The 24,579-nt window shown below is 43.6% G+C and overlaps 1 protein-coding gene across 50 annotated transcripts in view; it reads right to left on the bottom strand.

The window, feature by feature from the left end:
• Nucleotides 1-24,579, bottom strand: part of CABIN1 (calcineurin binding protein 1) — a 167,325-nt gene that overhangs the window by 130,758 nt on the left and 11,988 nt on the right. For 36 of the 50 annotated variants that reach the window (XM_047441218.1, XM_047441219.1, XM_047441226.1 and 33 more), the window contains 5 exons: nt 12,351-12,427; nt 11,690-11,782; nt 9,410-9,523; nt 6,598-6,732; nt 4,787-4,967 (listed from right to left, as the gene is read on the bottom strand). In XM_047441218.1, coding sequence (XP_047297174.1) covers nt 4,787-4,967; nt 6,598-6,732; nt 9,410-9,523; nt 11,690-11,782; nt 12,351-12,353 — 526 coding nt within the window. In that variant the 5' untranslated portion in view covers nt 12,354-12,427. The remainder of the gene's footprint in view (nt 1-4,786; nt 4,968-6,597; nt 6,733-9,409; nt 9,524-11,689; nt 11,783-12,350; nt 12,428-24,579) is intronic. The other 14 variants (XM_047441232.1, XM_005261419.3, XM_047441229.1 and 11 more) reach the window with 1 other exon arrangement.

Genomic DNA, 24,579 nt, shown 5'->3' with positions numbered 1-24,579 from the left:
TGGGACCACTATCATGCCCTGCCCAGCTTCTCAGTTTGGTGCAGGTAGACTGCAAGTCACTCCTATCAAGAATAACTAGAAAATGAAGCACCTAGGAGTGAGAAGCAACACACAGAGGAAAACCAGAGCAGAAGTAGAAATCTGCGCATGGAAGCCTTGGGAGAGGAGAAAGTGATGCGCTCCTAGTGTGCTTGGGAGGAGAGAGCAGAGACTGGCCACAATGCTCAGCAGGGCCACACGCCCCAAGGTGCACAAAGGCTGTGCAGCCTGTGAGCAAGGAGAGGTCTGTACAATCCCAGCACAGTCCACGCTGCTCAATAGATGGTCCAAAGGTGCCTGCATCAGACAAATAAGGGACATGGTTTCTCTGAGACCACATGAAACCTGAAGGGTAGCCATCAGTGACTTCCAGAGAGAAAACCCAGAAGGCACTGAGCACTTGGATGATGCTGGTTCTCAGTAGGCACATTAGCTGCATTAAGCTAAACTCACTAGCCACCCTACAGTCCTGCAGAGGGAAGGCCTGGGAAATCTCAGAACAAGAGGCAGTCCGCAGGCCTTAACCCAGCAGCATCCCTCCCTACTCATATCAAATACATAAAATGCCACTGAGAGTCAATTTAACATGCTGCTTTAATTTTTTGTTTTAAATGACTGTCAAATCTATCAGGGCTCTCACAGGTGTATGTATCAGTTCAGTCCCTGTTATGATTAATTGTATGTGTCTATTTGACTGGGCTACAGCATATCCAGACTTTGGCCAAATATTATTTTGGGTGTGTCTGTGAGGGTGTCTTTGCATGAGATTAACATTTAAATCAGTAGACTGAGTAAAGCAGATCGCCCTCCCTAATGTGGGGGGGCCTCATCCAATCAGTTGAAGGCCTGAACAGAACAAAAAGGCTGACCTTCCCCCGCATAAGAGAATTTTTCTGCCTGACTACCTTTGAACTGGGACATTGCGGTGGGGGGGGTTTTCTACCTTCTCACTAAAACCAAGACATCAGCTCTTCCTGGGCCTGCCAGCCTACAGACTGAAACTATACCATCAATTCTCCTGGTCCTCAGGCCTTTGGACTTGGACTAGAACTATACACCATCACTCCTGGGTCTGCAGCTTGCTGACTCACCCTGTAAATCTTGGAACTTGTCAGCTACCAATACCACATGAGCCAATTCCTTACAATAAATCTCTTTCTATATATGTACATACATCCTATTGGTTCTGTTTCTCTGGAGAACCCTAATACAATACTCCAACCTAAATCTTCCCACAAAGACTTGAGTTTACCAAGCATAACTTCTTCTACAATGAGAGAGGGGTGCAAAGAACTAAAGAAGTCAGTTGAGGAAGGAAGGCTGAACCCCAAAGATGGTCCCAAACTGTGGGAGGAGCACCCAAGAAGAGACTCAAAGCCTCCAGAAGAAGAAACTGCTAGAGTCAAAACACAGCCCTGTACAACTATCATATTCTGCTGGTGGGAGTGAAATGAGGGGCAACCTACAGAACGAGTGCATATGTTCACTAAAAGACATATACAAGAATGTTCATAGCAGGTTATGACTAAGAACACAAATCTGGAAATAACCCAAATGCCCATGTACAGAATGGCTACATTGTGCAAATGCACATAATAGACCACACAAAATAACAAGACATAGAGACTGCTGTGCCCCACATGGGTGCGCTCACCGACAGGATGACAAGCAGAAGGGGCCAGCCTGAGGAAAGCACACGCTACACGCTTCCTGACTCTACCTAGGGAAAGTTCAACAACAGGCAAAGTTCATCTTTGGTGACAAAAAGGAGAAATCAAGGTTGCCTTAGGAGGTTGTAAAAAGTGGAAGGGACCCAAAGTAACCTGCCTTCTGGGGCGCTGCACATGTTCTGTATCTTGACATGTTTTCACATATACAAACTGACAGGTCTCAGATTTATGTACCTTATTGTATGTATGTTTTGCCTCAATTAAAAAGATTTAAAAAGTGGTTATGGAGAACAAGAACTGGAGGTGAGAAGGTTGAGCAAGGCCTCATCTATCTCAACACATTCTATCCTGTTCCTATTTGTCTTTTTAAAAGGAAGAGAAAAAAAGACTCTCCAGCCTCCAGAGCTGAGAGAAATAAATTCTTGTTTAAGCTACCCAATCTATCATATTTTATTATAGCAGCATGAACTAACTAAGACAGAAAGTGGTACCAACAAGTGGGCTGCTGTTGTAACAAATACCTAAATATGTGGAAACAAATTTTTTTTTTTTTTGAGGCAGAGTCTCGCTCTGTCACCCAGGCTGGAGTGCAGTGGCACAATCATGGCTCATTGTAACCTCTAGCTCCTAGGTTCAGGTGATCCTTCCAAGTAGCTGGGACTACAGGTGTGCACCACCCCACCCAGTTAATGAAAAAAAAAAAAAAAGTATTTTTAAATGGGGTTTCACTATCTTGCCCAGGCTGTTCTTGAACTTCTGGGCTCAAGCGATCCTCCCATCTCAGCCTCCTAGAGTGTTGGGACTACAGGCATGCTACCTGTAGCTACCACACCTGGTGTTGGAAAGAGCTTTAGAACTGGGTATAAGCTTAAAGAGTTTCGAGGTGTACACTGGAAAAAGTGAATATTGGTATGTAAGGATTGTTAAAGGTGATACTGGGCTGGGCGCAGTGGCTCACGCCTATAAGCCCAGCACTTTGGGAGGCCAAGGCGGGCGGATCACGAGGTCAGGAGATCAAGAACATCCTGGCTAACACGGTGAAACCCTGTCTCTACTAAAAATAAAAAACAAAAAATTAGCCGGGCTTGGTGGTGGGTGCCTGTAGTCCCAGCTACTTTGGAGGCTGAGGCGGGAGAATGGCATGAACCTGGGAGGTGGACCTTGCGATAAGCCGAGATCGCACCACTGCACTCCAGCCTGGGTGACAGAGACTCCATCTCAAAAAAAAAAAAAAAAGGTGATTCTGATGAGGGCTCAGAAAGAAGAGAAGAGGTACAGAGACGGCTTCCATCTTACTAGAGAATAAATAATCATGTACAGAATGTTGGTAGAAATATAAACATCAAGGGCATTTCTGCTGAGATCTCAAATGGAAATAAGGAACATGCTATTGGACAATGAAGAAAAGGTGATCCTTGTTATAAAGTAGCAAAGCACTTGGCTGAATTACGTCTATGTTCTAGTGTTTGGTAGAAGGTAGAACTTGTGAGCAATAAAATTGGCTATTTTGCTGAGACTTCTAAGCAAAGTATTAAAGACATAGCCCAGTTCCTCCTGACTGCTTATAGTGAAATGCTAAAATAGAGAAAATAAGAGGGCATTGTTAAGCAAAAAGGAACCAGAACTTAAAAGATTTAGAAAATTCTGTCTATCCATATTGCAAAAATTGAGAAAGTTTGTTCTGAGAACACTATGAGTGTGACTGACCAACAATTTTCTTATAAGATCAGTGTGGGCATGAACCACAGATTTAATCAGGTATCTCAGAAGCCAGAAAGGTGGGATTATACTGGCAGAAACACTGCTAATGGGGACTAACGGGAACAGAAAAAAAATGAGAAAGAATGAAAGAAAGTCAAGAATATATGTTATCTTTCAAGGAAAGGGAAGAAGAACCCTCAAAGATGATTCAAAGATCATCTGAGCCGCCACTCCCATCACAGACCAAGAGGCTAGGGCTAGTTCCTTAAAGGGTGGGGCTACTTCTCCAGTTTGCATAGGCCAGGATGTCTCAACCTAGCATCTTAGGGGTAGAGCCCTTGCCCAGCCAAAAGGGTGGGGCTTGTCCCTCCACCCACGTACCATGAGGGTGATGTTGCCACCTCAGTGGGCATCAAGGGCGGAGCATCAGGTCAAAGAGAATTATTCCTGAGCCTCAGGACCTCAAATTTGCCTTGCTAAGTTTGCTAAGTTTTGGGACCCATCACACTTTCCTGCTTTCCTATTTCTCCCTGTTGGAATGGAAATGTTTGTCCTATATCTGTCCCACCATTATATTTTGGAAGCACATTAATTTATCTGTATTCACAAGTTTACAACTGGAGAGGAATTTTGTCTCAGGACAAATTGTACCTCAAGTCTTACCCACATCTGATTTAGATAATATTGATTTTTGTTTTGTTTTGTTTTTGAGACAGGGTCTCACTGTGTCACCCAGACAGGAATGCGATTGCACAACCTCGACTCACTGCAGCCTCGACCTCCCAGACTGAAGCAATCCTCCCACCTCAGCCTCCCAAGTAGCTGGGATGACAGTCACGCACCATCAAGTCCAGTTAATTTTTGTATTTTTTGAAGAGACAGGGTTTCACCATGTTGCCCAGGCTGGTCTCAAACTCCTGGGCTCAAGTGATCTGCCTGCCTTGGCCCCCTAAAGTGCTGGGATTACAGGCGTGAGCCAACATACCCAGACAATTTCTGCTGTTTTAGCCACCCAATCTATGGTATTTTTTTTTAATGGCAGCCCAAACAGACTAAGACACACAAAATGGGACAGTGCAGGGAGGAAATAAGATAGCCACTTCTGTCAAGCAAACAAAACCTTGCAAAGCAAAAAAAAAAAAAAAAAAAAAAAGTAAAATCATTCAGAAAACATGCTACTTTATTACTACAAGGCATTTAACAAATCAAGAAAGAGATGCAGAATAAAGCAGAAATCTAAGAACATTGCCATTCTCCCTGACAGTCTGGCAAACCCCTTCAGTGTTAACTTTGGCTTTCAGTTTACCCAAACTGCCTTTCCTCTGCTGTTCCAAAAACCACTGGCACATGGAAGAAAGCATCAAAGCATGACTCACTTGTGTAATCACTGAGGGTGTACAGGACAGTGATTAGGTTATCCAAACAGGGCCAGTGGTCAGGATTGCACCGCAGCCCTTCCTCAAAAGCATGGCGAGCCAGGGGGATCCGGATGAGCCTCAGGGCCACATGTCCAATCTTATACCAGAGGTTGACATCTGTGGAGTCCAGCATCACTGCCTGGAAGCGACACAAGCAGAGGGCAAACACACACACACACACACACACACACACACACACACACACACACACACACACACACACAGTCAGATCTCTCCTTGAATATGCACCCCGGGGACGGGAGGAGCACGGCACTGGCACAGCCACTTGAACTTCCCAGGGAAATGGCAAAAGTGCCATGACTATCTTATAACTGACAAGTAATGCCAGCTCATCTTTCCTGGAGTCGCACGTTTCCAAGATCTAGAGTGATAATGGCATATAAAAAGTTACAGGGACCAAGTTATTTAACTTAGAATTTTTTAAAAAAATTTTTCTTTTTTGAGACTGGGTCTCACTCTACTGCCCAGGCAAGAGTGCAGTGGTGTGATCATAGCTCACTGCATCCTCAAACTTCTGGGCTCAAGCAATCCTCTCACCTCAGCTCCATGAGTAGCTGAGGCTACAGAGGCACATCACCACACCTAGCTAATTTTCAATTTTTTTGTAGAGACACGGTCTTAGTATGTTATCCAGGCTTGTCTCAAACTCCTAGCCTCAAGTGATCCTCCTGCCTCAGTTTCCCCATTGTCTTGATATATTTTGTCAATCTGAATATCTGTATTCCTTACATATTTAATAAGTAAAAGGAGAAGAAAGAAAAGAAAATATGCCCAGGCCTGGTGGTTCACACCTGTAATCCCACTTTGGGAGGCTGAGGTGGGCAGAATGCTTGAGTCCAAGAGTTCGAGAGCAGCCTGGGTAACATGGCGAAACTCCATCTCTACTAAAAATACAAAAAGTTAGCTGGGTGTGGTGGTGGTGCATGCCTATAGTCCCAGCTACTTGGGGGCATGAGGTCGGAGGATCGTTTGAGCCTGGGAAGTCGAGGCTGCAGTGAGCCCTGATTGTGCCACTGCACTCCAGCATGGGCAACAGACTGAGACCCTGTCTTTAAAACAATTTGAAAAAATGAGAGTCTTATGGGATTCAAGAAAACTCATGTACTTTGAAGACAAACCTTGGTTCACATCCCTGCTGCAACACTGATTAGCAGAATGATCCTGAGCCTCCATTTCCTCATCACTAAAGTGAGGATAAAGACTCCTTCCTTGCAAGATGGCATGAGGATTAGTGTATGCGTAGGAAGCAAACAGCGCAGTGTCTGGTGCTTTAGAGGTGCCCAGAGACAGACTGATAGTAACATGAAATAACAGCAATACTATTATGACTGTAAGTATTAATATATTGAATGCTCAGTTTCAGACTTTGTTTTTGATACTATTATGCATACCAACTCATTTAACTTTCACAACTATGCTCTTCTTTATTATTACCACTATATTGGTGTAGACCTAGAGATACCAAGAGACTGAATAACTCACTCACAGCCACACGTGCACTGAGCAGCAAAGGAAGAATTCACATGCAGGCCTCTGCATCCAAGCATGTGCTCTGCCCCAGCCCCTGCTCTCCAGGCCTGGTCAGTACTAATTGTTATCACCTATGGACCTACCCTAGAGCCTTGGGTACTATAGCTTGGTGATCCACCACTACAAACTCTTCTTTTTGGCCCACAAGACCGCAACCTCATCCCCTCCACCAAGAGCTTTCAAAACACCAAGGTAGCTAAGCACTGCCAAAACCACACCTCTAAGTAGAACTCCATGGCTGTCTCCAGATCCTCCCGCTGGGCTGCCAGCTGGGCCAAGTTCTTATAAGTGGAATATTTCAGTATCAGCCCAGGGTGTTTCAACCCCTCTTTCTCATCACCGGATGAAACTGCCTGTGAACAAAACAGAACAGAAGTGACAACTAGACCTTGAAGCCTCAGCAAGCAGCCAGCAGGATACTTGGCTTCCAGGCTGGCCTCTGCTGCAGGCCCTTGAGCCAGTCTAGTGTTGTCCACCACTGGAAAATGAAGGCACTGCACCATGTGTTCTTATAAGACCACTCCTACTCCAAGCGCACAGAGAAGAACAGACCACCCTGAGGTATTAATAGTTTGCAGAGAGTCTGGGCATCCAACAGAGAGAAACTGCCCCACCACTACTGCCATGCCTGAGGGTTCAAGCCTAGCGAATAACATTTACAGCATAGGTAGACCCAGTCAGCAGCTCCAGGTATAAGATAAAAGACAAAGTATCAGCAGGCTGCCTGGGGGCAGAAGGCCTAGAGCTTCACTGCAGGCACTCCAGGATTAGGAATCAAGAGACTGAGCTCCCAACTCTATAACTCATCACATGAGCATAGACAATTGCTAATTTAACTAAAACGTTAGTGTCTGACCTCTGTAATTAAGAAAAATAATTCCTACCCTAAATAGCAAAAGTTAAAGTGAGCTGAAAGACCATCAGAATTGCAAATATGCTTAATATGAAAAGTTATTTCATTACAGCTTTAATGACCTTATATTCTAAGAAACTGCTGATTAGAAAACTATTGCTCCAACCACAGGACAAAGACTAAAACATTTTCTAACAGAAAAACTCACGGGCACCAAGAAGCTCTTTCCTGGGGCAGGTGGCTTCCACACATTGCTCTTCATGTTCTGAACAGGTAAGATCTGAAGACATGCCACCCTCAGGAAGCATCCCTTGACTAATCCAAGAATCTACCTACCTTGGAGGTCTTAAGGAACTTCTTTAAGACTGAGAAGCTCAAATGAAGCCCCATTCAGTTATCTTCTACCGTCATCTGACTTATCATACAAAAAGGCCCCCAAGAACCAGCTGACCAGGGCTGGATCCCAGCTACCTCTGTCCCTCCAGGTACAGAACTCTTCAAAGAATAGTGGGAACAAATTTACAGAGACTAAGTGAGTCTACTTCGAACTAAACAATCAGCAATACACATGGACATGCACATAACAGTGGATGCTTTTAACTAACCTCCACCTAACAGACTACCTACATTCAGCACCACTCTCCATCCACCCTGAAAGGCTTGCCCGAGCAAGTCCCTCTAGGACACCCACCAGTCAGGGTGAATGCTTCTTAGGAGTCAGCTGGGGTCCAGGGCCTATCTATGCCAATCTTCTGCAAAACTGTAATTATGTAATTAACATTAAGTATGCCAATGCAATATGAGTGTAAAAAGAAACTGTTCTATGTATTTTCTGTACTTCTCCATTGTTTACAATGAGCATGTTGTCCCTTTTAAGGCTGAAACAACCTTTTAAGGCTGAAAGTGATACACTGTGCACAGAAAGATGCACACACCTACAACTAAAAGGCTGACACATGACCGTGCCCTTAGGTAAAAGGTTTCTGCCTAGCAACTGTTGGATGCTGGGCCCACCTGGCATTCCACCACGTCCTGAGAGGGAAGACCAACATGCCCACCAACTGGTCCATAACCAAAGCTCAGTAAACATGGAATAAACTAATTTTCCCTCTCTGGGTCCTCACCCACTTCCTACTAACAGGAGAGGAGGAGGTCACAAGTCCCATACCACTAATTCCAAAGCACTGTAACCAGTAACCAAAGAATCTTGACAAGCTATATAATTAGGAATACAAAGAAAAACCGTGGGTGAGAGAAGGAACAGATGCTTTCTTCTCACAATTAAAACTCAGTATTCTATCTCATCGGCAGCAAAAACCATCAAGGTTTTTGCTTGAGTCATAAGTGTCTGCATGCCTAGCACTACAGGAGACTCTGCTCAACTCAAGGACTGTGCAGTCCAGTAAATACCCATGGAGCTTATCTGCTTCCTTAATGCACATCATCTGCATGTTTGGGCGAAAACAAACATGAAAACTTGAAAACAAACGCCTTTCCTCCTAATGAAATATACACCTTCCTAAATCAATTTCAGGTTGGGACCAATTCCCAAACCTCCAGTCGACATCTCCAGTCAACTCGAGGATTAACTCACTCACCACTACCACAGTCCCCATGCTGGGACCAGGTCTTGCTCTGCCTGCCCCTCTCTACTGTAACCAGTGTCCCCAGTCCTTCTGACTATATTCAAAATTGCATGGCATGTCTATACAGACTTCCCAAGCTCATGGTCTTTTACTCAAATGGCATTTGCTAAAATGTGCTGCCAGTAGGATCATTAGGTATCAGCAAACCATGGACTCCAAACCTGGTTCGAATGCTTCACTTACTTGGATGGCTTTGAGCCATCAAGACCTCACTAAGCCTCAGTTTCCACATTTGTAAAACCCAGCTACTGGGCAGAGTGGTTGTGAAGATTAAGTAATAACGATAGCTGGCCTTTAACAAGCACTTACACCAGGAATCATTTTACATGCTTCACTGGATTTACTCAACCCTCATAAAAACTCAATGAGGCAGATACCTAGAGGTGGGGAAATAGGGGCAGAGAGGTGAAATAATGTTTTCAAGGTTCCCCAGCCAAGAAATGGGAGAGCAGAGGTAAGGCCCAGAGTACCCAGCCCCACAGCCCATGCACTAACCACCACGGCACACTGCCTGGCCTGCTGATGCCTCACCTCCCGCAGCAGGCTCGCCTCCAAGAGCTCATGGTAGGCTTTGGCAGACTCCTCAAACCGGTCATGTTTCTGCAGATCAAGGGCCTTGTGGTACAATGCAAAAGCCTCTGCTTCCTGCAAATCAAGACAAGAGATGTTTTCATACAGCATAAAGATCTGTCTTTTTTAAGCCAAAAATGTGTGTAAGGCGGGGCTACAGTCAGAGGAACCAACCATGTGATTAGATAGCTGGAACTTTCAGCTCCCCCACCTCCCAACTTCCAGGAAGGGAAGAGAGGCTGGAGATTGAGCTGATCACCAATGATTTAATCAATCATGCCTATGTGATGGAATCTCTGTTTAAAAACCCTAAAGGGCAGGGTTCAGAAAGCTGCTAAGTTGGTGAACAACATCAAGGTGCTGGGAGGGTGCCGCACCTGGAGAGGGCACGGAAGCTCTGTGAATCCACCCCATACCTTGCCATAAATATCTCCTCCACTTGGCTGTTCCTGAGTTGTATCCTTCATAATAAATTGGTAAATGTAAAGTGTTTTTCTAAGTCCTGTGAGTCATTCTAGCAAATTATCAAATCTAAAAGGGGTAGGGGGTGAGAATCCCTGATTTTACAGACCGGCTGGACAGAAGTGTAGGTATCCTGGCACTCAACGCTTGCAACTGGCATCTGAAGTGAGGGCAGTTTTGTGGGATGAGCTGTTAGTGCTGTGGAGTCTGACACTAACTCTGTGTAGCTAGTGTCAGAATTGAATTGTAGGACACCCAGTTGGTATATGGAGAGTTGGAGAATTGGTATGGGGGGAAAATACCCCAAACATATGATATCAGAAGGGTTGTGAGTAAAATGTTCAGTGTGAATGGTTTCCATTGCAGGCCAGGCACAGTGGCTCACATCTGTAATCCCAGCACTTTAGGAAACCAAGGTGTGAACCGAGGAGTTCATGGCCAACCTGGGCCACATAGAGAGACCCCTGTCTCTACAAAAAAATTTAAAAATCAGCTGAGCATGGTGGCCTGGTGTCTGTAGTCCTAAACTACTCAGGAGGCTGAGACAGGAAGACTGCTTGAGCCCAGGAGTTAGAGGTTACAATGAGCTGTGACCATGCCACTACACTCCAGCCTGGGTAACAGAGTGAGACCCTATCTCTTAAATAAACAAACAAAAGCTGGTTTCCATTGTTTTCTTTTCTTTTTTTTTTTTTTTTTTTGAGACGGGGTCTCACTCTGTCGCCCAGGCTGGAGTGCAGTGGCATGATCTCAGCTCGCTGCAACCTCTGCCTTCCAGGCTCAAGCTATTGTCCTGCCTTAGCCTCCCTAGTAGCTGGGACTACAGACATGCACCACCACGCCCAGCTAATTTTTATACTTTGAGTAGAGACGGGGTTTCACCATGTTGGCCAGGCTGGTCTCGAACTCCTGACCTCAAGTGATCCACTCACCTCAGCCTCCCAAAGTGCTGGGATTACAGGCATGAGCCACCGCACCCGGCCTGGTTTCCATGTTTTTCTACTCACCACTCTGCCATAGCCTGATCATTGCCTGGGGAGGATGACAATCTCCTGTGGGAGGGAGGGGGCACTGGGTAGGTTGAGCCTCACTGACATGCCTTGCAGACTAGGGACAGGTGACTAGTAGACTTCTGAGACAGCTCTGGAACTGTCCTGATTTCTACCATAAAATGCAGCGGGGTGGAAGGGAAGGCATATGTTTATTTCAGGGAAAACAAAGGCAGGAGCAAACTCTTATTACACTAGGATAGGAGAAGGGTATGGAGATGAATGGATGGAAAGAAGAAGGCTGAAATGGAAGAGATGCCAGGCCTCATGGGAAAGAGGAGTGACCAACAATCTAGGGAGTTGAGGTTGGACCTGGCTCCCTCACTGACCTGGAGGGTGATCCCAGTCTAGGCTGCTCCCCTCAAGAGTCTCATCACACTGTAAAGTGAGGGCAATACACTAGGGAACCTCGAAACACCATCTACCATTAATATTCTACCATTCCCTGGGTATCCCAACTCCTGAGGGCTGCACAAAGAATGGGGTGCATGGAAGTAGGCCTGGGGGCTGAGCTGGCCTTCACATACACTGATAGAATAAATATAATTTCTCCTCTATATGATCGTCTGCTAAGTAAAACAGGTTTAACAGGAGATGGAGAGCTAGCCATCTTTCAAAATGGAATTTCCCCCTAAAGCCCCACTGAGGAGATGCCTAAATGTATTTAAAATGAGGTTCCCTCTATAGAAATGAGAAGGTCCACCTACAGAGAAGACCTCGCATTACGTACCTGAGCCTCCTTTGTCTGGGTTTTGTGACTTTTAAAGCTTCCTTCATGATCATCCTCAATGGTGGAGCTGGCATTTAAGGCTGCAATTCGAATCTAGAAACAGGGGTTTGGTGGAAGAGACAAGTTGCTTTGAGATGTCACTCATCTCTTCAAATACCCACAGATGAATACAATTCTGCTCCAGCATATGATCTATTCTACCTTGAAAAGCTATGACCTTCTCAGATGTGGGGAATGAACAAAAAAATCATCCTCTAAAGAAAAAAAAAAAGAAGGGCGGGGGGTGGGGGGCCGAGGGGGGAGGGTTATGCCAATCTGTGCAGAAAGTATGTCCTGGGTACTGTCCACTGCAAAAGCAACAGACACTGGGGACACCCCAGCAACAGCTCAACACAGTAGAAGACCCAGGTAATGGAACAACAGATTTCAACAAAACATGTTAACTTTATGTCTTTCCAGCAACTGTGACAAGGTCCTGCAAGCCGCTTCAACCACCAGGCAAGCAATCTCACACCCTCAAAGGTGCCAACAGCCTTCCTGGGAGGAAGGCTACTCCATAATAAGAGCCTTCAGAATCTAACAGGAAAATGCCCCTCGCCCCCAGGAGTAACGTAACAAAAGAACACTGAGGTCCGCAAAATAGGCAGGCATCAGTCCTTACCATATTCAGAGAGATTCAGCACTGCCACGAGCATCACTTCTCATCACTGGCAAAGGTTGCCCCAGTCCACAACTCTCCTAGAAAGGAAATAGGACAAACTGAGACAAGGCCTATGAAGAGCCAGGAAGGTCACAGTGCCAAGGTCCACCAGGAACCAGTCCTTCCCTGAGCTCTATGCAGACAGGCCAGTGAAGAGCTGCCTTGGGACAGCGGTGTGGTCTAACACACAAGGAGCTCCTTGGTCCCTTACGATAGCATTCATCATTTCCTGGCAATGCATCAGGTGCCAGGCACACAAAAGAGTGAGAACAATCCTTGCCCCCAGGGATCACTGCTAGCAGAGGTAACAAGCCTATTATTTTTTTCAAAACCTGAATGATACGAAAAGAAACACAGGCAACATCTAAAGGCAGCAAAGAACAATTCAAAGCGATTAAGGAAGGCAAAGGAGTAAGTTACTGCATCAAGCCTTGAAGAATGGAATACACTGCAGTGGAAGACAGTGAAGCAAAGAGGCAGGGAGAGCGAGGTGTGATGGGAAAACTAGAAGACAAGGCCTTAGAGCAGGGATGTGAATGGAGGATGGAAAGGTAGTTGAGGGCCAAGTGACAACACAGAGGCCATGAACTTTACCTGTAGGCAACAGGGAATCAATGGGTGTTTTAGGGAGAACAAAATGTTTTGCCTATGTTTTAGAAAGATAATAGAAAAATAATTAGAGATAGGCAGACTAGTCTGAAGGCTGCAAAAGATGACAGGATTGGCAAAGATGTGGAGATTTAGAATCTCATGCATTGTTGCTGGGAATGTAAACTGGTGCAACCCTTGCGGAAAACAGTCTGCTAGTTCCTCAAAATGTTAAACAGAGCTAGCATATGACCAGGGAATTCCACTCCTATGTGTATCTACCCAAAAGAAATGAAAACATGTCCACGCCAAAACTTGTTCATGAATGTTCACAGAGGCATTATTTCTAAAAGCTAAAAGGTGGAAATAACCTAAATGTCCACCAACTGATGAATGGATAAATAAAATGAAGTATGTCCATATAAAGGGGTATTTATTATTCAATCATAAAAAGGAATAAATTTCTGATACATGCTACAACACAGAAGAACCTTGAAAACATTATGCTAAATGAAAGAAGTCATATACAAAATAGCATGTATCTTCTGGCTCCAATTATATGAAATGTCCAGAATATGCAAATCTATAGAGATAGAAAATAGTTTAGTGCAGGGGTCCCCAGCCCCCAGGCCACAGACCAGTACTGGTCCATGGGCTGTTAGGAACTGGGTCACAGAACAGGAGATGAGCGGCAGGTGAGCAAGCATTACTGCCTGAACTCTGCCTCCTGTCGGATTAGCAGCAGCATTAGATTCTCATAGGAGCACAAACCCTATTGTGAACTGTGCATGCGAGGGATCTCGGTTGTGCATTCCTTATGAGAATCTAACTAATGCCTGATGATGTGAAGTGAAAGTTTCATCCAGAAATTATCCCTGCCCTCTGCCTCTGGTCCGTGGAAAAATTGTCTTCCAAGAAACCAGTCCCTGGTGCCAAATGGATGGGAACCGCTGGTTTAGTGGGCTTGGAGAGAAGGACAACTGGGGAGCAACTACCAAGGGGTTTAGGGTTTCTTTCTGGGATGACAAAAATGTTCTAAAACTGATTGTGGTGGTGGTTACACAACTCTGTTAATATACTAAAAACCACTGAATTTGTACACTTTAGGGGAAACTACATGGCATGTAAATTACAAAGCTCTTATTTTTAAAAAGATGCCAGGATCCCAGATGGACCCGTGACAGCAGGGATGAAGGGGAATCCCACTAGGAGGTAGACTCACAGGACCTGACACCTGGGAGGCTGGCCCGAGGAACTGGGATGGGGATATGGACACTACCAAATACGTCAGGGAGGGCAGGAGGAGGACCCATTAAAAGTCCTAGCTGAGAGGCTGGCAGAAGGGGCTGGAAGGGCCCAGCAGGCAGTGGGATAAGCCTCAAACAGACAGATTGAACATGTGCTCCACTTTTATCAATTAAAATAACTGCTAGGGGCTGGACACAGTGGCTCATGTAATCCCAGCACTTGTGGAGGCTGAGGCGGAAGGACTGCTTGAGCCCAGGAGTTTGAGACCAGCCTGGGCAATAAGGTGAGACCCTGTCTCTATTAAAAATAATAATAAAATAAATTTAAAATGACTGCCACTGTCACCAGTGCTTACAGCAATGACTTCTAGCACAGGCTTTCACAATAGGCTCTGAGTTCTCTTAAGGGTTCATGCAAGGAAGGAAGTACTTTCTCACAGACAAAGAAGACTCAAACCTTTCCTAGACTGATAGCTGTTTTATCTCCTGGGTTCCACATTTAGAAAAAAAAGAATACTGCTAATCAAAAGTTTGGAAACTGCAGTTTTTGTGTTTGTTTTTGTTTCTTTGAGACGGAGTCTCTCCCTGTTGCCTAGGCTGGAGTGCAGTGGCGCGATCTCGGCTCACTGCAACCTCCACCTCCCGGGTTCAAGTGATTCTCCTGCCTCAGCCTCCTGAGTAGCTGGGACTACAGGTATCTGCCACCACGCCTGGCTAATTTTTTGTATTTTTAGTAGAGACAGGGTTTCACCATGTTGGCCAGGCTGGTCTCGAATTCCTGACCTCAGGTGATCCACCCACCTCGGCCTTCCAAAGTGCTGGGATTACAGGCATGGAATTACAGTGAGCCACCATGCCTGGCCAGAAACTGCAACTTTATCATAAGCTATGCCAAAATGGACACTGGGACCACTATACAATATGAAAAAAAGTAGAAACTATAGCATTAAAACCCTCCATCTAGGCTGTTATCAAAGCAAAATAAAGCCAGAAAATAACAAGTATTGATGAGGACCTGGAGAAACTGGAGTCTTTGTACATTCCTGGTGAGAATGTAAAATGGTGCAGCTACTATGGAAAAAGGTATGGCAGTTCCTCAGAAAATTAAGTACAGAATTACTACATGACCCAGAAATTCCACATCTGGCTATATACACAAAATAAATGAAAGCAGGGACTTGAACAGACACTTGTACACTCATGTTCATAGCAGCATTATCACAATAGCCAAAAGGTAAGAAGCAACCCAAGTGTCCAACAACAGATGAATGAACAAAATGTGGTGTATACATACAACAGAATACTATTCAAACTTAACAAGGCAGGAAACTCTAGCACATGCTACAACATGAAATAAACTTTAAAAACTACACTAAGTAAAATAAGCCAGACACAAAAGAACAAATATTATATGATTCCACTTATAGGTGGAAAATAGAATAGGAAAATTCATACAGACAGAAAGTAGAATGGTGGTTGCCAGAGAGGGAGAGGGCAATAGAGAGTTACTGTTTAATGGGTATAGCATTTCAACTTTTCAAGATGAAGAGAGTTTTGGAGATGGATGGTGGTGATGGTAACACAACAATGTGAATGTACATAATGCCACTGAGCTGTACACTTAAAAAGTGGGTAAAATGGTAAATTTTGTTTCCATATTTTACCATTTCTTTAAATATCCAGAAGTAAACAATCAATAGAATAGTTTCCAATTAGGAACAAAGTTGAACTTGTTTTCAAAATACAAAGACATTACTCCAAATAAAGTCTCAGATAGGCTCTGGTCATCCTCAAGGCAGGCCGACAGCCCATGGCCAGACCTGCAGCTCAAGCCACACCCTGATGACTCCCAGTAAGCAGAACTTATAGCCCCAGGGGCCAGCTATGGAGCCCACTGGAGATTAGAAGAAGTGGGAGAGCCTCTCAAACCCCCACTTCACAGCCACTCTCTGCTGCTCACCCACTGGGCTCTGTGCACTGAATCCGAAAACACCTCTAATCCCACTGAGCATCACATAGCCTCCGTCTGAACTGCTGCCTTCACTTACAGAGCAGTCACTCAGGAACTACCCATTGGTCGATTTTTTTTCACCACTATCTTACTGTAAAAATCAGCTGTCCTACCTAGACCTGGGGTTGTAAGAAGGAAAAATGGAAAGGACACTGGATTTGGAATAGGAAGATTTTAGAGTGTGGCTGAGTTGTGTCTCAGATACTTGACTCCCTGATCCTTTACAACCCTTGGTGTCCTTGTATATAAAATGGCGACAATAGCTTGACTAGCGTGGAGCTCCTCTGACCAGAGACCAGCAGACTTAGCTGGGATTCCCCATGTCACACCCACACTGACTTTTCTCCTGCCCCCTGCCACCCCACAGAGGCAGGAGAAAAATCAGAGAGTGGCACTTATGCCAAGACACAGGCCTCTCAACCCACTTTCTGCAGGACACGTGCTAGCTCTAAGTCATGGCAAGTCTTCCTAGATGCCAACTGGATCCTCCTAGGGAAAAACAAGGGAGGGGCCCATTAATGGCTGAAGGATCAGGTCTCTGTGTGGCGGTGGCAGGGTCCATGTGCATGGGTGGGAGAACATCAATACAGCCATCATGCCAAGGCCAACCTATTCCACAAGGAAGAAAGCTCATCTGCTTCCTAAGTAATGTCTCAAAGGAACGCATCCAACCACTACCAGAATGGTGCCAGGTGTGCCTGTGCCTTCCTCTGGGGCATATGCTTCTTTGTCTCCAGGACTATGGTAGGTGCAAGTCCAATCGCAGAGCTGACAGGAGATGGCCTCTCAGGACAGATGAATGACTAAATAACTAGGCAAGTTGGAGAAAAAAAACAGTGAGGAACCCCAGAGTGGGGTGTCTGGCCCCATATGCTGTCTGAGTCCCTGCCCCAGCCCAATCCCTCCCACCTCCTCCATAAAGAAGGCACCTGGATTCCCTGAAGCAACAGCTCCCTGAGTACCATGATCAGCAGAACCCAAACACCCTGAAAACAGTCCACAGTGTAGGAGAACAAATACAAATTTCAGGCTTCCTAATTATTTTCAAAATTGTTCTATGTTAAAACTCAAGTCAACTCTCCCCACTAAAAGGGCACCTGTGCTGGCTTTAACATAATCTAAAAACAGCAGCACTTGGCACCTCTCCAAATCTCCAGTCCATCCTAGACATTTACAAAGCACATTCACATTATCTCACTTGAATTTAATGCAGCCTTACAAAATAGGCATTATCATCCCCATTTTCCAGATTAGGAAACCAAGGCTTAGGGAGACTAGCTGACCTGCCCAAAGTCATAATGCTAAAAAGAGACAAAAATAGGACTCAAAGCCCAGTACTCTTTCTAGCACAGCAAAAAGTGACAGCAAAGAGTCTCCTGCCTGCCCCTGGACATGCACAGCTGTGAGCTATTATGCTTCAGCTAAGAGCCACAACTGATGCCCTGCAAGAGCTCCGAACAGGTTTGCTGATGGCCATAGAATAAATTGTATTTGCTCAGGCTGTTGGGCCATCACTTATGCATCATCAACATCACTCCATAAAGCAGAAAACAAAATTTCCAATTCTCTAATAAAAGTACCAGCAAAAAGCTATTCAATGCCCAAGTATTACATGCTAATCAAAAACTCACAAAGACCAGCTCCCATTTTATAGGGAGGTACCTCAGGCTTGCCACGTTAGGTGATTTGCCTCAGGCTGCCCAGCTGGTGGGCAGCAGAACCCAAGTTTTAAGCTGGGCACTGCTTTTCAATGTGTCTCCTGGGCACAGACACATACTGAACTGAGGCATACTTGTAGGTATACAGTTTTACTGTCTACACAACATTTCATCAAGGAAAACCTAAAAAATGATTCTCATATAGACTCATCACATACATTAGGTCCATGAGACCAGCACCCCTTCTGCCCACTGCCTTCTATTTCCACTCCATCATTACCACTCTTCCTCAGCTACTCCAAAATTTCCAGTAGCAAAATTAAGAAGAAGCCAGAATAATGGACACATTGGGAAGACTGTGGGGGCTTTGAACATGTACTGTATAATCCCCTTTACTAGCAACTACCATTTTTTTTTTTTTAAGACAGGGTCTCACTCTGTTGCCCAGGCTGGAGTGCAGTGGCACAATCTCACCTCAGCTCACTGCAGCCTCAGCCTCCTGGGCTCAGGCAATCTTCCCATCTCAGCTTCCTCAGTAGCTGGGACTGCAAATGCATGGCACCATGCCTGGCTAAATTTTTAATTGTTTTTTTGTAGAGACGGGGTTTCACTATGTTGTCCAGGTTGGTCTTGAACCCTTGAGCTCAAGCGCCTCGGCTTAAGGCCTTGGCTTGAGGCTCACTGCAACCTCCAACTCCTGGGTTCAAGTGATTCTCATGTCTCAGCCTCCTGAGTAACTGGCATTACAGGCATGCTCCACCACGTCTGGCTAATTTTTGTATTTTTAGTAGAAACAGGGTTTCACCATGTTAGCCAGGCTGGTTTCAAACTCCTGGCCTCAAGCGATCCACCTGTCTCGGCCTCCCAAAGTGCTGTTATAGGTATGAGCCACCGTACCTGGCCTTGAGTTTTTAAATATCGAGTACCTGCAAGAATTTTTCCTAAGATATACAAATAAAACATCTTTTTAAAACTAAAAATCTTACACTGATTTGGCACAGCAAGAGATGGTTCTTTCTAAATGTCCCCTCTACATGCCCTCACCTCTTCAGTGGAAATCACCCTGCCTCTGGGTCTGTCCCTCTTAATAGCCTTGTAAACTTCCCAAAGGCAGCAATCCTGTCCTATTTATCTTTGTACCACTATATCTGGTACCAAATCCCATGAAGGAAGAGACAAGTGAGTACATGAGTGGTTTCTAGACAGCTCACCTGTTATTCAGTCATACCCTCCACACAGGGAGAAGTACCACAAGTCAAGCAGAAAACAAAGTGCTTCCTGTGCAGAACAAACGTGCATCCTCATATTAGACATAAGGAAGCTGAGCCCTGTAACCATATTCCTAAGGATGGAATAGTCATACAACTGCACCTCTCCATAACAAAGACAGAACAAGGGCTGGAAAAAAACGACTGGAGGATAGGACACATTTAACTTTTCAGTCAAATCTTTCTCCACGACCAGCATCCATCATTCACAGGATGACCTTTGAAGGACAGGGCAAGCTTCAGAAGTACCTCAATGCAGAGGCAGCCTGCAGAGACATGGCTCACTGATGGTTCTGTTAACACCATGGACTGTAGCACTCCCATACGAGGAGGAGCATTCTCATCTCAGCTGAAATAGGACTTTAACAGTCCCCGTTTTTTTGACACACTTCATTTTTCTGTGCTTTACTTTATTGAGCTTCACAGGTACTGTGTTTTTGATTAATTGAAAGTCTGTGGCAGCCCTTTGTCAAGAAAGTTGGTAAGTGTCATTTTTCCAAGAGCATGTGCTTACTTTGGGTTTCTGTGTCAGCATTTTTTAGCAATAAAGTATTTCTTAACTAAGGTATGTACATTTTTTTAGATATAATGCTGCTGCACACTTAATAGACTATAGTACAGTATAAACATTAACTTTTATATGTACTGGGAAACCAAAAAATTTGTGTGACTTGCTTTATTGTGATAGATATTCACTTTATTGCAGTGGTCTGGAACCAAACCCACAATATCTCTGAAGCATGACTGTAATGATTAAAAAAAAAAAAAACCTGCCAGTAGACCCAAAGTGGAAGAGACCTCCTCAATCTGTATCTTAGTCAATTTGGTGCTGCTATAACAGAATATCTGAGCCTGGGTAATTTATAAAAAAACAGTAATGTATTGGCTCACAGTCCTGGAAACTGGAGAGTCAAAGAGCATGGCGCCAGTGCCAGTACCTGGCAAAGGCCTTACTGCATCACTGCGTGGTGGAAGGCAGAAGGGTGAGAGAGCATGACAAAGCAAAAGGGGGATGAACTCACTTCTGTAACAAGCCCATCCTTGCAATAATGAACCTATTCCCATAATAACAACATTAATCCACTCATAAAGGCAGATCCCTCATGACCTAATTAACTCTTAAAGGTTCCACTTGTCAACACTGTTGCATCGGGGATTACATTTCCAACATATAAACTGTGGGGGATACATTCAAACCATAGCAATCTGATAAAAGGTATTTACAGCTAACAGCATACTTAATTTCCCTCCAAGATCAAGAAACAAGGCAAGGATATCCACTGTCATCTGTCCTATTCCACAATATACTGGAAGCCCTAGCTACTACGTTAAGGCAAGAAAAATAAGTTAAGTGGAAAGAGATTACACAGAAAAAAATAAAACTGTCCCTTTTCAGAGATAGCATGATTGCCTTTCATAGAAAATCTCAAGTAATCTAGAAAATAAAGCCCTAGAACTTCTAAGTGTGTTTAGCAAAGTCATAGGGTACAGGTCAACACATAAAAGTAACTGTATTTCGGCATACTAGCAATAAACACTAGAAATCAAAATTGAAAAAAAGAATATCATTTACAATAGCTCCAAAAATTATGTATAAATATAACAAAATATGTACAAAGTCTATATTCTGAAACCAAGAAAACAGTGGTGAAATAACTCAAAGTAGACCTAAACAAATGGAAAGACATACCACGTTGAAGAACTGGAAGATTCAACATAGTAAAGATGTCAATTTTCCCCCAAACAGACCTACAGATTTAGTGCAATCCCAATAAACATCACAGCAGGGTCTGTTTGTAATTATAGATAAGCTGACAGAAAGATTTAATGGAAGGCCAGAGAGGTACTAGAATGACCCAGTTTTGAAAAGAATAGTAATATTGGACGGATCACACTACACAATTTAAAAACTTACAATAAAGCTGTAATAATCAAGGCAGCGTAGTGTTAGTAAATGAACAGACACATAAATCAATGAAACAAAATACAGAGTCCATAAGAACCCAAATGAAAATGGCCAATTTATTACTGACTATGGTGCAAAGGCAATTCAATGGAGAAAGAATCTTCTTTGCAACAAATGGTTCCGGAACAACTGAACATCCATATTCAAAAAGAAAAAAGAAAAAGAACCTTGACCAAAAATTCACATGTAATACAAAAAATAACTCAAAATGGATCATTTCTAAACATAAAATACAAAACAAAGAAAACACAGGAGAAAATCCTTGAAACCTAGGGTTAGACAAGCCTTCAGACAACACAAAAAAACACAACCCATAAGCAAAAAACTCAATAAACTGAACTTCCAAATTGAAAAACTCTTGCTTTACAAAAGACACTGCTACAAGAATGAAAAGGTCAGTCCTTCCACCAAAACAACCAGTAAACTAGGAAAATAATCATCAAAATCTACTGTTTCAAACTCTGGAACCTGGCCAGGCATGGTGGTTCACACCTATAATCCCAGTACTTTGGGAGGCCAACACAGGATGATTGCTTGAGCCCAGGAGTTTGAGGCCAGCCTGGGCAACAGAGTGAGACCTCGTTTCTACAAAACATAAAAAAAATTAGTCCAGGCCCAGTGGATCAAGTCTATAATCCTAGCACTTTGGGAGACAGAGATGGGTGGATCACTTGAGCTCAGGAGTTCGAGACCAGCCTGGGCAACATAGTGAAAACCTGTCTCTACAAAAAAATACAAAAAAATTAGCTGGGCGTGGAGGCACATGCCTGTTGTTCCAGCTACTAGGGGGCTGAGGTTGGGAGGCTCACTTGAGTCCAGGAGGTTGAGGCTGCAGTAAGCTGAGATTGTGCCACCGCACTCCAGCCTGGGCAACAGAGTGAAAGCCTGTCTCAAAAAAATAAATTAGCTGGGCGTGGTGGCACATACCTGTAGTCCCAGATACTTGGGAGGCTGAGTGGGAGGATAACTTCAGCCTGGGAGGTCGAGGCTACAGTAAGCTGAGATTGCACCACTGCACTTCAGCCCGGGTGACAGAGTGAGAGCCTGTCTCAAACAAAGCAAAACAAAACAAAACAAAACTTTGCAACCTGACTGAACACTTAAAACAACCAGCAGAGCGTTTGATGAGCAGAGGCTGCTGATATTTGGTAAAAGAATAACTTGACTCAGCTACCATCCCCCATTCCTCGGCCCCACCACTCACGGCTATAGGGATAGCAGCTCATGTTCCTAAAGTGGCTGGCTGGTTCCAAACCTACAAAAATGTGGGTTTGTGCACTTTGGTTGGTCTGGCAGATCCCTGTAGAACTGGTATATACTTGCCTTGGTTTTGGCCTTCTCAGGCTATCGATGTTTTCACAGGTGGCTTCTATCAGAAGATTTAAAGAGATGGAACACCTTTTCCCCCCTTTTGAATCAGACATTTAAGGAAATCGTTGTCAGGTCACTGGCTGACCAAAGAAATAATGGAACAGAATCTACAGTGCCCACAAACAACAAGGAATACATTTTGCAAAAATAGTTTGAAAAAGTCAAAAATTGATGGCTGCAGCCCTCAACAAGAAAAAGTCAGAAATCTGACTTCCAACATTATCCATACTATAATACTTAGAATGTACAATTCTAAACAAAAAAATTACAAAGAATACAAAGAAAAAAGAAAATGTGGCACATTCACAGGAAAAAGGAATTTGATAGAAACCATCCCTGAGAAACTGAATTTGATAGAAAATATTCCTGACCAGACACTGAAATTACTAGTCAAAAATATTAACTGTCCTAAATACACTGAATCAACTAAAGGAAATCAGGATAGATGAACAAAATAATAAAGGAAATAAGGAAAATAATGTAAGAACAAGATGAGATTATCACTAAAGAGACAGAAATTCTAAAAAGAAATCAAACAAAAATTCTGAAGACTAAAAATACAACTGAAAATTCAAAAACAAATGTGAGCAGGCGAAATAAATGGTCAGCGAATGTGAAGGAAAGGCAATTGAAATTATCCAGTGTGAGAAAAATAAAAAGAATAAAGAAAAATGAATAGAGACATACGGACATATGGGGGATACCATCTAGAAAACTAACGTATGTATCATATGAGTATCTGAGGGAGAAGAGAGAAAGGGGTAGAAAAATTATTCGAAGAAATAATGGCTGAAAACTCCTCAAATCCAATTAAAGACATTAACATACATATCCAAGAAGTTCAATGAACTCTAAGAAGTACACATTCAAAGACATCCACATTGAGACACATTATAGTCAACTTATTAAGACCAAAACCAAAGAGAAGATCTTGAAAGCAGCAAGAGAGAAGCAATTCTTAGGAAAAAACATATGGAAAAATCTTCATGTCCTTGGATCTGGCAATAGCCTCTTAAGCATGACACCAAAAGCACAGGAAACAAAAGGAAAAATAGATAAATTAGACTTCATCAAAATGTAAAACTTTTATGCAAAGGTAGCACATGTATACATATGTAACTAACCTGCACAATGTGCACATGTACCCTAAAACTTAAAGTATAATAAAAAAAAAACTTTTATGCAAAGGACACTATCAAAAAGTGAAAAGACAACACACACAATGGAAGAAAATATTTGTAAATCATATACCTAATAAGAGATTAATATCCAGAATATATAAAGAACTCCTACAATTCAACAACAAAAAGACAAACAAGTCAATTTAAAAATGGGTAAATGACTGGGCATGGTAGTTCACGTCTGTAATCCTAGCACTTTGGGAGGCTGAGGCAGGCAGATCACTTGAGGCCAGAAGTTCGAGACCAGCCTGGCCAACATGGTGAAACCCCATCTCTACTAAAAATAAAAAAATTAGCTGGGCATGGTGGCAGGCACCTGTAATCCAGCTACTCAGAAGGCTGAGGCATGAGAACTGCTTGGGCCCGGGAGGCAGAGTTTGCAGTGAGCCAAAATCGCACCACTGCACTCCAGCCTGGGTGACAGAGCAAGTCTCCATCTCAAAAAAAAAAAAAACAGGTAAATGACTTTCAAAAGACATTTTCTCTAAAGAAGATATAAAAACACCTGTAAGTGCATAAGATGCTTATCAGGGAATTGTAAATTAGTCATCCAGGAAATGTAAATCAAAACTACAGTGAGATACTATTTCCATCCACTAGAATGGCTATTATCAAAAAAATAAAACAGAAAGGAAATGGAAAATAACAAGTGTTGGCAAGGATGTAGAAAAACTCAAACACTCATGTACTGCTGGTAGGAATGTAAAATGGTCCAGCCCCTGTGGAAAACAGTTTAGTAGTTCCTCAAAAAGTCAGACATGGAATTGCTACATGACCCAGCAATTCCACTCAGGTTTTTACCTGAAAGAACAGGACTTGAACAGATACTTGTTCACCCATGTTCACTGCAGCATTATTCACAATAGCCAAAAGGTAGAAACAAACCAAGTGTCCACCAAT

This window comes from Homo sapiens, chromosome 22 (genome assembly GCF_000001405.40).
Source record: "Homo sapiens chromosome 22, GRCh38.p14 Primary Assembly".
Classification (NCBI taxonomy): domain Eukaryota; kingdom Metazoa; phylum Chordata; class Mammalia; order Primates; family Hominidae; genus Homo; species Homo sapiens.
Note: the sequence above shows the minus strand (reverse complement) of the source record. Positions and strands in the feature narration are given on the sequence as shown.